General features: G+C 36.0%; 1 non-coding gene across 1 annotated transcript; it reads right to left on the reverse strand.

Moving 5' to 3' along the window:
• Positions 1–854: 854 nt before the first annotated feature.
• On the reverse strand, positions 855–954 carry MIR548X2 (microRNA 548x-2). Its single transcript, NR_039692.1, has one exon. It is a non-coding gene; the product is annotated as a microRNA 548x-2 (primary transcript).
• Between the last annotated feature and the right edge of the window lie 15971 nt (positions 955–16925).

The following is a 16925-nucleotide window of genomic DNA, read 5'->3' on the forward strand; positions in this document are numbered from 1 at the left end:
AGTAGATGAAATTGAGGTCATCACTTTTGTAGACATTGCTTGCTAAATGTGGTAGTCATTAGTGCTACTCACTGATATTTGTTTCTTCTCTTCTTTCTTCCCTAACTTTAATTAGGCATAGCCAATTCATGGTGAATGGAAGACCTGTGTGTCACTTCTGGGCTGCAATATTTAATTACAAGTCTGAACTGTCCAGAACGATCTTCCTCCTTCCAAAGAGATCTTGGAAGCACATGTTGCAATAGAGCTTGTGAGCTTCTAGTTCACTGAATGACTCATTGAATAGAGTTCTTTCGACAACCAGAAAATGGGCATAAGGGAAAATAAACTTTTTTTTTCTGTTAAACATATGAGATTTGGGAGCTTTTTATACCACAGCATTACCTGACCTATCTAAGTGATAGAGTGAGAGTCAATAAGAATCAATATTCATAAATCAGACTCGCCTATAATTTTCATTTGTCAAACTATCCTTTTCTAGTGTCAGATAACGTTGCACTGTTTTCATAGAATAATATACATTTTCATATCTTTGGATGAATTTTATGATCTTGGAATGATGTACTCCTTTTACATCTGCTAAATCTCAAGTGTAAATTTTTTTTTTTTTAGTTTGTGGGAAGATTTTAGCAAATGTTCATGTTGAAGGCTTTTTCTAACTTTCCTAAGTTCTTTGAAGAGATAATGCTAGTATTTCATATAAAGAAGATATGTAGAAAAGCGATTTGAGAATGGAGATAAAAAGAATCAAATGTTTACTCATGCTGAGAAATGGCAGATCCTTGGGCTGCAGAAAGAGAGGATGGGATTTGTTCGTTGTTCTCTGACCTTACCTTAGGAAATTTGTAAGACCTCACACAAATATTAGGTTGGCACGAAAGTAATTGCAGTTTTTACCATTACTTTTAATGGCAAAAGCCACAATTACTTTTGTGCCAACCTAATATTTGGCATCTATGGGGTTTACCACTGAAGCATGACATCTTCTAAAAGATTATCATTCTCAAAGCAAAGAAAAAGAAAACCAGATGCATAGGATCTGAAACAGTCATGCTGGCTTGTACCTTGTGTATTCCAGTGGCAATCAATGTGCGCCCACACTGAAGGATCAGGGGGATTTCCTAAAGCAAATTGTTCTAATTCTCTGTAGGATTCTAGAAACTTGACATAATTTAGAAAAACTTTTTGATTACAATAGAAATATAATTTTCCATAATTTCTGTGGGTTTACTATCAGATACAAATAAAGATTGATTTAAATAAATAAAAAATGTGATATTTGCACACATTAATTTCTAATTGACATACTTACATTTAGATTTTTATTTTAACAGAAATAATGTAAACAAACTCCTGGGAATTGCTCTTCAACTTTGTTCTTGAATAAATACATAAGTCAAATTCTTAGAAGAGAGGCAGACATATCAGGCTTCACACTGCTTAGTGGCTTGTAGCATCTCTTGATATCAATATAGAAATAATACAAAAGCCTTTGAAATTTTTAGTATTCAACAATGAAAAGCCTGAGTTCTCCAGGAAAAAAAAAGAATCTGTCCCAGAGCAGTTGTTGAAGAGGCCAGATGAGGGAGCCTGTACAGAGAGTCATTTCCCATTGAGGGAAACTTTGATGAAATGGAGGGAGGAGATGAGAAGCAAATGGAGGATAAATTCTCTCTTAGAACGCCCCCTGGGTGAACTGTGTGGAGATGCAGGAGTTCATACAGCTTTTCTCATGATGTCTAGCAAGACCGAAAAATCAGATGTGCTTCTTAAGAAGTACATAACTAAAATGGAAATAAAAGTGGAGTGGTTGTTAAGTCAATTCTCTCATGACAATTTACGCAACTTCCTCTATTTTCTATTTTCTTACATCCATATGATCTGCTTTCTCTCATGGCTCTCATTTTAGAAACACCTCTTGGCAGTGTGCAATGACATTTTTGCTTGTTTTGAAACAACCAAAAACTCAGGTTGCTTAACTCCCTATCTCATCTAGTTCCTTAAATTATTCAGTCTTGTAGAACTTGGCAAAGGAAAAATGAGAAAATGGTCCTGCTCAGTAGAAATCTGTTGATTTCTATCCACTGAAATCCATTAGTCTTTGAAGTTAACTCTTTCTTAATGTGTCCTTATGTTACAGTAAGTATGGTGATTCCATTTATGGATAGATACACATTATTTTGTTTCCAGAAATATTTTAGAAAAATAATGTACACTTCAATCTATATTGGCAACCAATAATCCATGGTATTTTGTCGTCCGCTTTCAGAGACCTTGCAATATTTGAGATTTGTTTTCTACTAAATTTAATTTCTTACTAATATAGACCTTCTGTGTTAGACTCCTATCTGATTTCATATATGAGTTTGAAACATTATCACATGACTGAATCAACTTTGTGAGCAAATTATTCCAAAAAAACAAATATTTACTCATATTAATCACCTTCTCAAAAAATTTTGATAGTTTCATATCAGAGAAAAATTTCCTATAAACCAAAGTAAACTCAGTGTCCAAGACCCCCTAACATCAGGTTCCAACTAATCTTTCAAGACTTACTTCATCAAACTCCATTAGAAAAACAGTCTGGTCTTACAGCTTTTTCAAAAACTAGCAATTTAGTTTAATTAATTCCCATTTATGAATTTTTTGTTGCTTATATTTTAAGGTCTTGGTCATGATTATTATTATTATTATTTTTTGCCTAGACAAATGTCCCAAAGAGTTTTTCTAGGCTTTCTTCTAGTATTTTAGTCATTTTAGGTCCTGCATGTGTTTAATCCATCTTGAGTGAATTTTTGTATGGTAAGAAATAGGGGATCAGTTTGATGTTTCTGCATATAGCAAGCAATCCAATTTTTCCGAACACCATTTATTGAAAAGGGTGTCCCTTCCCCAGTGTATGAGTTTGTCAACTTTGTCAAAGATCAGTTGGCTTCTGTACAGCAAAAGAAATAACCAATAGTGAACAGACAACCTGCAGCATAGGAGAAAATATTTGCAAATTATGCATCCTACATGGATTAATATTTAGAATTTACAAGGAATTCACACAAAGCAATAAATAAATAAATAATTCCATTAAAAATAGTCAAAGGACAGGAATACACATTTTTCAGCAGAAGACGTACAAATGACCAAGAGACATATGAAAAAAAACTTAGTGTAACAAATCATCAGACAAATGCAAATTAAAAGCACAATGAGATACCGTATTATACCAGTCAGAATAGTTATCACAAAAAAGACAGAAAATAACAAATGTTGATGAGGATGCACAGAAAAGGGAACATTTATACACTCTTACTGAGACTGTAAACTAGTACCACTTCTATGGAAAATAATATAGAGGATCCTCAGAGAACTAAAACTAGAACTACCATTTGATCCAGCAATCCCATTACTGAGTATCTACCCAAAGGAAAATAAATCATGATAGCAAAAGATACCCTCACTTGTATGTTTATGGCAGCACTATTCACAAAAGAAAAGATATGGAATCAACCTAACTGTCCATTAGCAGAAGATCAGATGAAGAAAATGTAGTATAGGTACACTATGGAATACTACTCAGATATTAAAAAAATGAAATCATGTCTTTTGCAGCAACATGAGTGGGACTGGACGTCATTATTTTATGCGAAACAACTCAGAAATGGGCAAATACCACATGCTCTCACTTATAAGTTGGAGCCAAATAATGTGTACACGTAGGCATAGAATGTGAAATGATAGATAATTGAAACTTGGAAGGGCGGCGAGGATGGGAGAGGATGAGTGATGAGAAATTACCTAATGGGTACAATGTACAGTATTTGAGTGGTGTATGCACTAAAAGCCATAACTTCACCACTATGCAATATATTCATGTTACAAAATTATACTTGCACCCCTTAAATTTATACAAATGAAAAACAAGAAACCCTAGACATTTTAGATAAACATTTTGTGACATTTAAATACAGTGAATTGAAGCTCTCTTATCTTTTTCATAATATACCTCTTTCTTTAAAATTTTACTAAAAGCTAAACTAGTGTTAACTTTCCTTTTTAATTCCACTCATGCCAAAATATTTTTAAACTATTTAAACATGAAGGAATCTTTACAGTATTATTCATAATTATAAGTAACTCTTAAATAAATTATTTACCAGCCCTAAACCAGAGCCAATAGGAAATGAGATTGTGGAAGAAACTTAAATGACCAGAAAAGATAGACAAAATATACTGAGAGTAAAAAGGAGCAGGTTATCAATAAGTATATACTGTATAATTCTATATTTGCATAAAGTAAATTCACAAAGGTTATCATCTGCAATTTATATTTTCATGTAATGAGAAAAATGTTAATAGAAACCTCCCTAAAAGAAAATAATTTTATGTCATACTAAGAGAGAAACATTATAATAATTATTAGTTTTTTGGGGAGGGGTAGAGGGATGCTGTGGTCCATGCCTGTCTCTAAGACATTCATTCATTAATCTGCTCTTTGCCTAGTTCTGAATGAAAGGCAGAAAATATGGTGATGCACTATGCAGATATATGTCGGCCTGTTAATAAAAACTGAGCAATAAATAATTATCTTTTTTCCTAAAAATAACTTTAATTTTTCATGCATGTTTAATAATGTTTGTTTCTAGAAGTAACATGTAATAAAAAGATATATTTAATATCTTTAAATGGACAGGCATGAAAATATCATCTGTTCTATCCTTCACTTTCCAAGCTAGACTCAATGAAAAATGTTAGATGAAAAATAAACACTCAGAAATATTTCCATGTCAATATTTTTGGCAAAAATATTAGGTCATTTTGCATGAATACTTACTGGAAATATACATAATTCTGTGGGAAAAAATGATGATTTTTGTGTTTATGGTTCATACCTCAAGAACATAGTTATTCAATTAAGCTTGCCTACTCAAACAATATAACAGGTTTACTAGACATTTTTTAATAAGTAAAAGTATTTGATGTCTTTATTATCTGCTCCAGATATGAAGATCAAATCCACACTCAACAACACACAATTTGAGCTCAGAGTCTTTATTGTAATTGGAAAATACATGGCCTGCTTGCCAAAAACTAAGGAGTCTCTGACTATGTGATGTAATTTAATGAGTGTTTAATCCCAGATTTTACTACTGAAGAGCATCAAATCCCTTCATTAGTATAAATTTATTGTGAGCTGCAGTCTTAGTTTTCTTATTTTTATTTTCCCAGTTCTTGCATACTACTTGTCATGTAGCACTTAGCCTATACAGATTTGTTGATAGACTTCTCCTTAAGTGTTTTTAATGTGCACATGCATTTCAACTAGATTTGGTCATTATTGGCTAGATGATTAATACTTGCACACTAATATACCCTCCCTAGCCAAGGGTACTAAAAAAAAAAAAGGGTAGCTAATTGTTCATGAAAATTAGAAGATACACAGAAAGGAAATTTCTAGGAGGTTGTATGTTGGCGGGCAGGGAGTAAAACTAAGCAAAGCAGAAAAGACTGAGAACAAAATGAGCAGCTTTGATGAAGCAGGAAGATACCGAGTTTCTGAGTTGAAGAAGGGGAGTAAAATGAAAATTAGAATTATGCTATGGACTAAATTGTGTCTGCCCAAAATTCATGTGCTGAATCCCAATCCCCCATTATGACCCTATTTAAATATAGGGCTTTTACAGAAGTAATCTAAGTTAAATGAAGTCATAAGCTAGGGCCCTGATTCTGTAGGGTGAGTGTCCTCATAAGAAAAGATAACAGAAAGTGTGGCTCGCTTTCTCTGCCATGTGAGGACACAGCAAGAAGGCAGCCATCTGCAACTCTGAAAGTGGACTCTCACTAGAATTCAACTATGCTGTCATCTTGGTCTCAAATTTCCAGCCTACAGAACTGTGAGAAAATAAATTTCTGTTGTTTAAGTCACCCTGTTATGGCATTTTGTATGGCAGCCTTAGCTAAGATAAAGTGTGAAAGAAAGTAAAAGTTATTTAAAGTTAAATATACCAGATTAAAAACATATATTTGCCTCAAATTCCTTTCAATAAAATGGATGCATTTTCAAAAGAAAAAAAAAAGAGAGAGAAAATGTTACAACTAGATGCAGGCAAGCACAAGTGCTGGCTACATACGAAAGGTGACACCCCAGGGAACAATGACAGAAACCAGCAAGACATTGAAAGAGCTGTGAGAATCCTGGAGGAGGCTGTTTTGAAAAGGTGTGTGTACAAGGGAGGAGGGATGTGAGGGGGGCAGAAAGCAGCCCTGCCTTGTGGTGAAAGAATAAAAATAGGAAAGAACTTGTTGGAATTTTTGTTCCTGCCTCCTCCCACTCTGCATGGGACCGACAACGCCAGCCTCCACACCAGCAGTGACACACATTTCTGGTGCAGGTTTTCTCTAGAGTAAAATCACAGCAACACAAAAACCATGGGTAGATGAGGACTTGAGAAAAACAGGTTTTTTTTTTTTTTCTTTGAGACAAAATCTCATTCTGTTGGCTGGAGTGCAGTGGCATGATCTTGGCTCACTGCAACCCCCGCCTCCTGGGTTCAAGCAGTTCTCGTGCCTCAGCCTCCCGAGTAGCTAGGATTACAGGCACTCACCACCACGTCCAGCTAATTTTTGTATTTTTAGTAGACGGGGTTTCACCACGTTGGCCAGGCTGGTCTCAAACCCTGACCTCAGGTGATCCACTAGCCTCGGCTTCCCAAAGTGCTGGGATTTATTTACAGGCGTGAGCCATAGCACTCGGCAGAGAAAAGCAGGTTTTGAAGGTTTAATGTGCCTTGGACAGGTGTTTCCCCAACTCTTCTCTATACTCCTCTAAGCCTGGAGAACAAGAGGACAAAGTTCTCCCTCTCACTTTTGTATCTCTTTTTGCTTAGCTAGGGATGGCTTCCTGAGCTGAGGAGCTAAGACAGGATTAACTATGATTTTTTGCTGTTGTTGCTTTCTATGTTTCAGTGTACTCATTCTACATCTTATTATTCAGGGTACAACTAGGAAAGGAGAAAGCATGTTACGGCACCAGGAAATTATTATAGGAGTGATACCTTGAACTATTTTGGAAAGATCTGGGAAAAGAAATTAAGGTCTCCAAGGAGGAACTGGAGAATCAATGAGTGACTGGCCTGGTCACCCTGAGCAGCAAAACACTGAAGTGGGACTACAAAAAAGGAAGTTGGCACAGGGATATATGGAAACTGTTGACTCCGAGGCTCCTCAGCCACATGTTTAGTGATGGGCCCAGAGCTGTTGTTGCTCAGCAAGACCAGCATTTTGGAAGAAGATGTGAGCACAAAGCTGAGAAGATCTGGGGAGAGCAAAGGCACACTGGAACCCCTGGTTGGTTACATCATGGCCGTCTCTCATTGCTTCTCACTATAATGGCCTCCAGAGAGTGATAGTTGCTCTTTTGCTTCTGTAAATTCCTCTTTTGAAATATTCTAACCTAGAACCATAAAGACCAGGGAGGTTGTGGAATGTCAATTTGATCTAAACAAACTGATGAAGCACAAACCACTCTGCTACATTTTGAGCTCATTGGAACTGAACTTGCTTAGGGCCTGGTATTGCCCTTTGTGTATTTTCTGACAGAGAAGTAGACAATCACATAACAACAAGTGTGGGGAACAGTCTCATAAAATAGCTAGGCATTGTGGCATTATTTCAAATGAGAGACAATATACTGTATGACTGATTTGCTCATAGGTAGAATTATTTCATTGAAGGAGTCAAAAGTTTCAAAACAAGCCTAATAATAATACAAAAAGGGATAAGAAAGATACAGAATAAAAAGAAAAGTATAAACATAAGCGAAATATTAAACTAAAAAATACAATTGTTGAATCGAAGAACATGTTTGTTGGAATAAAGTGTGGAAAGGATGTATCTGAAGGATAAATGTGTGTATTAGGAGGTAAATGGAAATGAAGCCATGTAAACAGCATGTTTGTTGCATCAGCACTATAATATGTTCTAATATAATGGGGAAAGTGTAGAGAAATGTGTATCTCAGACTTCATATTTCTTTTTTTAATTGTACATTATTAAGGGATACAGAGTGAAATTTCATTATCTCTATACAATGTATGATGATCAAATCAGGGTAATTAACATATCCATCACATCAAACATTTCTCATTTCTTTGTGTTGTGAACATTTGAAATATTCTCTTTTAGCTTTTTGAAAATATACAATAAATTATAGTTAACCATATTCACCCTACAGTGCTGCAGATCACCAGAACTCATTCCTCTTGTATTCCCTACACTCATTACTCTACTGCTTACCATCTTCCCCTCCCCTACAATTCCCAGCCTTTAAGAGCCACAACTCTACTCTCCACTTCCATGGGCTCAAGTTTTTTGTGTTTTTGTGTGTGTGTGTGTGTGTGTGTGTGTGTTTAATATTAGCTCTCATATATGAGTGAGACATTCAGTATTTATTTTTTGTGCCTGAACTATTTTGCTTAATATGATGTCATCCAGTTTCACCTATGTTATTGCAAATGACAGAATTTCATTCTTTTTAATGACTGAATAGTATTCCATTGTGTTTGCATACCACAACTTCTAGCCATTCACCTGTTGATGGACGTTTAGGTTAATGCCATATCTTAACTATTGTGAACAGTGCTCCAATAAACTTTGGATAAATATCCAGTAGTGGGATTGCTGGATCATGTGGTAGTTCTATTTTTAGTTTATTCAGAAACCTCCACACTATTTTTCATAATGGCTGTACTAAAAAACATTCCCACCAACAGTATATAAGGGCTCCATTTTTTTCACATCCTTTTCAGCATCTGTTTTTGTCTTTTTTATGATAGCCATTCTAATTGGGGTGACATAATATTTTATAATGGTTTTAATTTGCATTTCCCTGATGATTAGTGCTGTTGAGAATTTTTTGTATATTTATTGGCCAGTTATATGTCTTATTTTGAGGAATCTTTATTCAGATCTTTTTCCTATTTTAACGGTATTATTATTATTTGCTCTTGAGTTGTTATTAGTCCCTTGTTGGATGAATAGTTTGCAAGTATTTTCCCCTATTCTCCATGTTGTCTCTTAACTCTGTTGATTCTTTCACTGTGCAGAAGCTTTTAGTGTAATATAGTCCTATTTGTCTGTTTTGTTTGTAGTCTGTCACTTTGGAGTAAGATTTCATATTTCGTCTATCTCACCATTACCTGTGTTTTCACAAATTATTAGCAAATGTGATTTGTGAGTCTGATTTAGCAATCATGCAGTTTATATCTTACAATCCTTTAATTATTCTTTTATTTAAAAAATACACCTATATAGGTAAACACATATGTAATATAAATAACACGCAAATTTGTATCACGTTTACATATAGATATGTAGTACTTTGATGAACCCTATGCATCTATCAACGACAGTCAGGTGCTTTACACATGCAACTTGAAAGCCTTGAGATATTACTAGATGAGAAAAGCAAATTATAAACCCATATATTTAGTACATACCAAATTTTAAGAATAAGATATATACGGATATACTTAGGCAGGTAAGTGTTCCTATATATTTCTGCACTAAAAAATTATGGAAGTGGAAATATTTTATTATAATGTCTAGTTATCCATGTGTCATGGGTTTGGGAGAAATAAACTTTTCATTTTAAATACTTTAATATTATTTGGATTTTTATATCTATTTTTATAGCTAAGGATAGTTGATGTACAAACAACAAAGAAGAACAAAAAATATATAAACCTCTGGATTTAAGAATCAGAAGAACTGGGTTCAGGCTTTAGCTCTGTGTCTCTCAGAAACAGGAGTGAATTTAGGTGAGTTGCTGCTTCTATTTGAATATTCATTATAATTTTTTCCTTAAACTTTTTGTTGAGGGTTAACATATATATGAAAGTGCCTTGCCCACTGCTGTGCAAATAACATGTTAATATTCCAGAAATCCTCATTTCTTTAACAGATAAGAGGAGGAGGAGGAATAATTCCTTTCTTTTGGGTATTTTTGCTTAAAGTCCTTGTGGGAGTCAGTAGCATTCCATGAAACAGATTTTAAGTAAAAGCAAATTAGTACAGTGCTAAAGCTATAACTTTACTTGCCACCCACTATCAAATGTTATTTGTGGAATACCATTGTATAAAGATTAGCAAGGGAAAATACAGATAGGCAGAGCAATTGATTTTACATACTTCTCAAAAATGAAAACTACAGGTGGATCTCAAGCTGGCCTAACATCATCCAAGATTTATCTTACTTTTGGGTGGATTTGACTTGGTAAGGTGCATTGCCTGACTACAGAGACTATTCCCTATTCTTCCCTCTCTGTCAGCAGACTATTTGCTAGCATGTCAATCATCAGTTTTGTCATTGAACGTGGTCTCTACCAGTGGTAATTAGGAAAGTAAATTCAACAGTGAAAATCAGCAAGCAAAACTCATCAATCAGCAGCTCTTAAAAAGAGAGATCACAATCATAGCAGCAAAAGCTGGGAGATCATGTCCCTCAGGGCATTAGGAGTTTTATATAAAAATGTACGTGATGACTTTGCAATAGGGACACCCACTGTGCAAAGCCCAATGTGTGGCTCTCATTTTCAATTCAGATATCGTCAGTCTGAAGTCTTATAATATGATCACAGTTACAACAGAAAGATATTCAAATCATAATGACTGATGAGCAACAAAACCAATTTATTACTAGATCTGTCTCCCCACACACTCTGAAGAATTCCTGGGGATGTTTACATTTGCTCATGAAACCATTTGTATTGCTATGCTAAAAAAGCAGAAACTCAGACATCAGCACTTGCAACCAATGTTGTAAATGCTGCCCTCTGGAAGCCCACTGGTGAGGCTGTGTCCATACCACCCTTGGTACCATTAGTAATATGGAGGTAAGCTTTAATCTTGAACCAAAATGAAAAAAGTGCTGTGATAGCAACTCCAGCAGTCTCCTTTTGTTTAGTACTTCCACAAACAGCAATGCAGTTTCTGCTAATGCACCCAAGCCTGGGTGACTCTACTTCACCAAAGAGCTGGTAAACCTTCAGTATTGAGCCTAGTTTGGGAAACTCCTGAGTACAGGCTTTAAGACCACAAAGAGGCCGAGTTGCAGCAAATGCATCTTAGAATTTACACACAGCCATTTTCCCAAAGGCAGAGCACTGGTGTACAGGGGAAGGGGAGATAACAGAGAAAAAGTGGACTGCATATTGTGCCCAGGATCTATTATCACTTCAGATCTCAGTAAATTTGCAATGATTTTCTTACATTCAAAATGTCAGAAAGAATTTATCTTACTTCTTGCCAGTGGGTCTAAAACTCACATGCATGTTTTGAGGTGTATTCTCATAATAGTGAATAAGTCTCACGAGATCTGATGGTTTTAAAAAGAGGAGTTTCCCTGCACAAGCTCTCTTCTCTTGTCTGCCACCATGTGAGATATACCTTTCACCTTCCACCATGATTGTGAGGCTTCCCCAGCTACGTGGAACTGTAAGTCCAATAAACTTCTTTCTTTGGTAAATTGCCCAGTCCCAGGTATGTTTTTATCAGCAGCATGAAAATGGTAAATTGGTACCAGTAGAGTGGGGTGCTGCTGAAAAGATACCTGAAAATGTGGAAGTGATTTTGGAACTGGGTAACAGGCAGAGGTTGGAACAGTTTGGAGTGCACAGAAAAGGACAGGAAAATGTGGGAAAGGTTGGAACTTCCTAGAGACTTGTTTAATAGCTTTGTCCAAAATGCTGATAGCAATATGGACAATAAAGTCCAGGCGGAGGTGGTCTCAGATGGAGACAAGGAACTTGTTGAGAACTGGAGGAAAAGGTGACTCTGTTATTTTTTTAGCAAAGAGACTGGTGGCATTTTGCCTCTGCCCTAGAGATTTGTGGAACTTTGAACTTGAGAGAGATGATTTAGAGTATCTGGCACAGGAAATTTCTAAGCAGCAAAGCATTCAAGATGTAACTTGGGTGCTGTTAAAGGCATTTGGTTTTAAAAGGGAAACAGGCATAAGAGTTTGGAAAATTTGCAGCCTGACAATGCAATAAAAAAGAAAATCCCATTTTCTGAGGAAAAATTAAAGCTGGCTGCAGAAATTTGCATAAATAAGGAAGAGCCTAATGTTAGTCACAAAGACAATGGAAAAAAATGTCTCCAGTGCATGTCAGAGACCTTTGAGGCAACCCCTCTCATCACATGCCAGGAGGTTTAGGAGGAAAAAATGGTTTCATGAGCCAGGCCCAGGGTCCTTGGGCTGTGTGCAGCCTAGGGACTTGGTGCCCTATGTCCTAGCTGCTCCAGCCAGGGCTGAAAGGGGCCAATGTAAAGTTTGGGTCATGGCTTCAGAGGGTGTAAGCCCCAAGACTTGGCAGCTTCCACGTGGTGTTGAGCCAGTGGGTGCACAGGGTCAAGAACTGGGGTTTGGGAACCTCTGCCTAGATTTCAGAGGATGTATGGAAATACCTGGAATCCCAGACAGAAGTTTGCTGCAACAGTGGGGCCCTCATAGAGAACCTCTGCTAGGGCAGTGCAAAAGGGAAATGTGGGGTCAGAGCCCCCATATAGATTCCCTACTGGGGCACTGCCTAGTGAAGCTGTGAGAAGAGGGCCACCATCCTCCAGACCCCAGAATGGTAGCTCCATTAAAAGCTTGCACTGTGCACCTGGAAAAGCCACAGGCACTCTCCAGCCTGTGAAAGCAGTCAGGAGAGGGGCTATACCCTGCAAAGCCACAGGGACAGAGCTGCCCAAGACCATGGGAACTCACCTCTTGCATCAGCATGACCTAGATGTAAGACATGGAGTCAAAAGATATCATTTTGGAGCTATAAGATTTGATTTTCCTGCTGGGTTTTGTACTTGCATGGGGCCTGTAGCTCCCTTGTTTTGGCCAATTTCTCCCATTTGGAATGGTTGTATTTACCCAATACCTGTACTCCAATTGTATCTAGGAAGTAACTAACTTGCTTTTGATTTTACAGGTTCATAGGCAGAAGGTACTTGCCTTGTCTCAGCTGAGATGTTGGATTGTGGACTTTAGAGTTAATGCTGAAATAACTTAAGACTTTGGAGGACTGTTGAGAAGTCATAATTGGTTTTGAAATGTGAGGACATGAGATTTGGGAGGAGCCAGAGGAAGAATGATATGGTTCGGCTTGTCTCTACCCAAATCTTATCTAGAATTGTAACTCCTCCAATTCCCATGTCATGGGAGGGACCCAGTGGGAGGTAATTGAATCATGGGGGCTGGTCTTTCTCGTGCTATTCTTGTAATAATGAATAAGTCTCATGAGATCTGATGGTTTTAAAAAGAGAGTTTCCCTGCACAAGCTCTCTGCTTTTTTCTGCCACCATGCGAGATGTGCCTTTCACCTTCTACCATGATTGTGAGGCCTTCCCAGCCACATGGAACTATAAGTCGAATAAGCCTATTTCTTTTGTAAATTGCCCAGTCTTGGGTATGTCTTTATCAGAAGTGTGAAAACAGACTAATACAAAGTGTAACTGCATGTTACCTTCCCCAGATTCAGTGCTTTTCTATGCAATTGATTAGAAACATTGCCACTACTGCAACTGCATACTGCAACTGCCAAAAAAAAATGTTTGATGGAACCACTGGTTCTTATACTGACTCTATGTGGCCTGGGACAGCTCATCATCACCCCCTAAACCTACTCTGAAATTCCTCATTCTTCAGAATGTGAATTTCAAGAGGGAAGGCAGCACCTCTCTTCTAAGTTTCAAGTCGGTTTTCTTTGCCTCAGGAGAAACTATTTTCCAGTATGATTTGCAATAGGAGTATACATTCATTTCAAAGCAAAACTACAGTCCATACATTTGTGGTTGTTTTTCCTACAGAAGCTCAATAGGTAATTGAAATAATGTCAGGAAATTTACCAGTGTGTTTAAGAGCCAGGCTCCCTGGCCTATGTCTCAGTTCATTATTTATTCACCGTGTAACCTTGGGCAAGACACCTACCTTCTCTATGCCTTGATATGTTAATCTGAGAACAAAAGGGATATCAACAGTATATCACAGGGCTGTTGTGAAGGTGTATTTAAGGTACAAAGAATAATGCTTGACCTATAGTAAATGTTCTATAGTTTATTTTTTACTCTGACACAGGTTTGTCTCACAAATCTGTTATAGTTAATTATATCTAGGGACACATTTTAACAGTAGCCACTATATGTATATCATATCACAAGAGGTGACAAAAATGGAAAAGAGTAGACAGGTTCTGCAGAAAAAAGAAAATGAAAGAAAGTAGATAAGGACTTAAAACTGTACACCTCAAATGACCTTTGCTTAAATCCTGCACTTTTGGGTTACTACAGACATTTTTCCTTCAAACACTGCTTAAATTCTCCAACCTTTCAAGGATAGTGGTAAATTACAGCATTTTAAAAATAAAATCATTGCACTGTAAACATATGTATATCTTATGTGTGTTTTGGGATTTTTTGTTGTTGTTGTTGGATGATGGCTATTGTAGTCTTTTTGAGACACAAATGTATGTGATAGCTCAAGCCTTGTCAACTAAAGACCTCCAAAAATAACTCTCTGGCAGGGGACTTTCAGAGACTTTTACCTTTTCTTTTATATCAAGCAACTGTTCCCAATTATTCTTTTGTGCTGTCATTTATAAACAGTGAATGGCTATGAAGGAAGAGCTTTTCAGCAAAGGAAAGCAGTAACATCCAACCCTTAGCTGCCACATTCTATTTTCTGATTCCCTTATTTGAGACAGTCATGAAAATGCCAGCATTTAAATTGTAAGACTTAGTGACGATATTTCGATAGGCTTCTGAAAAAGCTTATAGGTACTTCAGTTCAACTCTTTTATCGAATAATAGAAGTTCTTTATATTCATTGTACAAAATGTAAAATTCAAAATGCAAACGAGTGAATAGAATTAAAAGTCATCTGCAATCCAATAAGCAGACACAACCATTTAAAAAATATTATGTGTATACTACACACATGCGCCAGAGACAACTAATTTTCACACTTCACAATATATTTATCACAATTAGACAGATAGGCAGAATTCCTACATGTTATATAAATAGGAGACAAAGAAATTTGAATCATTCTAAAAACCAATGTTGGTATCATTTATTTGGCATTCATTAATACTATATCATGAGGACTTTTTCATGTCTTTGGATATGCTTGTAGCATGATTTTTAAAGGCTGCAGAAATGTTTTTATATACAGACACCATCTTTTTCTTAACCTAAACTCTATTTATTTATTTATTTATTTATTGAGATGAGATCTCACTCTGTCACCCAGCCTGGAGTGCAGTGACACAATCATGGCTCACTGCAGCCTCGACCTCCTGGGCTCAAGTGATTCTCTCACTTCAGCTTCCAGTGTAGCTGGGTCTACAGGCATGTGCCACCACACAGGCTAATTTTTTTTTTAAATTATTCGTAAAGATGAGGTCTTGCTATGTTGCCCAGGCTGATCTCAAACTCCTGGCCTCAAGCTATACATCTGCCTCAGCCTCCCAAAATGCTGGGATTACAGATGTGAGCCATCGTGCACAGCCAAGATTATTTAATGTGTTTAACATTTCTCTGTTGCTGAATATTAGGTTGTTTCTATTATCTTTTAATTTTAATTAATATTTTGAAGAACTATCTAGAACATAAAACACAGTTTGATTCTTGATTATTTTTATTGGTAAAACTACCAATTAAAAGAACAAATTTCCCTCCAAAAAGCTTCAGCCAGTTTTTATTTGTACTAGAAGTATAGTATTAATTACTAGTTTTAGGCTTAGCTAGTTAGAAAGATAAAAATATCCTATTGTTCTTTTAATTTGCATTTTTAAAATTATCGATGAAAGTGAACATTTTTCTCATTTTATTTCTTTGCCTTTTAAACATTGGAATGCCATTTTACTTATGTTTGGGAAATTGCTTCACATATTTTATTAAAATATACATTCAAAATATTTCCGCTAATCATTTATCTATTGGTTTATTTGTCATGGCTTTGAATTTATCAACTTTGAAATACCAGGTAAAACATTATTCGCATTACTTATTTTTGTAGGGGGTATTTACCAATGCATTTATAGTATATTTTATCATATTGTTTTACATAAAAGTTATTATTTGACTTCTTTAAACCTGTGGAATTTATTTGGGTATATATGATAAGGAAATACACCAACTTAAAAATTCCCAAGTAACCTCTATTTCCCACACCATTGTGTAACTCTCCCATCAGTAGGGCATATAATGAACTCAGTTTCAAGACTGAATAGTCTGTTCTGTTTACCTACCTATTAAATTTTATGCAAACTAACTTTTTACATTATTCTATTTTACAACATATTTTAAAATCTTGTAGGAAAATTACATTTTTGTATTTTTCAAAGTATCTTTATTTGAATAATTTAATGATAATAGCCGCTACACTCTGATACCCCTACTACCTGTACTACAATGCTTCCTGATTACATTGAATTTAAAAATTATTTTGCCAAGCTCTAATAAAAATCCCTGTGAAGAGGTGTTATATGTCTTTTTACATCTATAAATTAATTTGAGAAAACATAAATGCTTACACTATTCTGTTTTTCTTCCATCTCTTAATTTATTAAAAGGCACTTTTCGTTTATTCAAACATATGGTGTATCTATGGAGTGTATCTATTGAGTCACTGTGTTCCAGATGCTACTCTTAAGTTTTGGGAATATAGCAGTGATATAACAGATGAAAAAACCCTGCCTTCATATGGTTTATATTCTAAACGGAACACAAAGACAATGAAAAACAAACAACTAAAAGTAAAACTTATATCACAGCTTTATGAAACCTATGTAAGAAAGCAGAAGACGGAAGGAGGATAAAGATTATATGTGCCTGTGGGATGTTGAGGAAATAGCTCACTGAGAAAGGAATATCTTAGC

Source organism: Homo sapiens, chromosome 13 (assembly GCF_000001405.40).
Source record: "Homo sapiens chromosome 13, GRCh38.p14 Primary Assembly".
NCBI lineage: Eukaryota > Metazoa > Chordata > Mammalia > Primates > Hominidae > Homo > Homo sapiens.